Raw genomic sequence first — 1,295 nt, 5'->3', positions numbered from 1 at the left:
GTGTTCTCATCTGGTCTGTGCTTTGTAAAGATAAGTAACCGCAATATATAGGCTGCAAGATGCAGCTAGGAGGCCAGGTGGGAGGCTGGGGCTGCAGCCCAAGTGCCGGGTCCAAGTGATTTGGCCCAGGATGGTGGCAGAGGTTTAGATGGGAAGGGAAGAGCCGGACAACAGCCCAGTCCTGAGCTCATTTCCTCACTCTTCCTTCCCCTGCAGAATGCTGGCGTGTTCTCTTTGTTGCTCAGTCTGAGAGGTGCTGCCAGCTCTATCAGCTTTATTTTTATGTTGGCGCCTAAAAGCTTCACCTCAAAGAGAGGAGACTCTGAAGACAATGAGAAGGACAAGCAGGCACAGAGATACTTCCCTTCATCCTCCCTTCCCACAGACCAGCTGAAGCAAAAGTTCAAAATAACGCCAAGCTGTTAGGAAAAAATTGCCAAAACCACTCCTCTTTCTCATGTAGTGACAAAGTGCTGCAGGGCCTGCCACATTTGATTGTTCTGATTCTAGGCCTGCTTCCCTCTTCTCAGGTGCGCTTAGTTCCTCAGCTTTGCTTATGTCTGTCTCTCGGGGTATTTCCAGGGGCTTTAAGACTAATCTGGTCCTCTCAGTAAAGACTTTTTGGAAACTACTTCTATTTCTTTTTGCAGTGTTCCCTGTCACACAAGAGCAGTTTTCTGCCGGAGCAGAAAACTAGAACCAAATGATACCAACTAATAAATAATAATAATAAATAATAAATAAGGCTATTTCATGGTTGGTGAAGAAGCACTAGACTTGAAACCAGACAGTGGTTTACTGAGGTCGTGCTGTTACTCCATCACCTTGGAGAGATCAACCAAGAAGTAGAGGCTTTGTGTCATGAGTGTAATACTTACTCACATATACTGGACGTAGTGATGAGACAGGCACCAGGGCTTTATACACATTGTTCCATTTCAACCTCGCAGTGACCCTTAAGAGAAAGGCTGTTTATTTTGTGCATTTTCACAAGTAAGGAAACCAGCTCAGAGAGATTAGGGAACTGGCATGAAATCACACAACTGGCAAGTCATAGGGAGGAAATCAAACTCAAGCTCTCTTATCTAAAATCTTTGTTCTTACTATGACCCCTTCAACTCAAGCTAGTGCCAGGAACATTGGGGTTAGAGCCAAAGGGATCTCAATCTGATGACTGCTTCTCTGTGTTGCCAGCTGGGTGATGTCAGGCAGGCAGCCCAGCCTCCCTGTGCCTTCCTCTTCCTTATCTGTGAAATAGTGATGCTTTTATTATTTTAACTCATACTAAACCTTTT

This window comes from Homo sapiens, chromosome 4 (assembly GCF_000001405.40).
Source record: "Homo sapiens chromosome 4, GRCh38.p14 Primary Assembly".
Classification (NCBI taxonomy): Eukaryota; Metazoa; Chordata; class Mammalia; order Primates; family Hominidae; genus Homo; species Homo sapiens.
The sequence above is the reverse complement of the archived record's forward strand: the minus strand, read 5'-3'. Positions refer to the sequence as shown.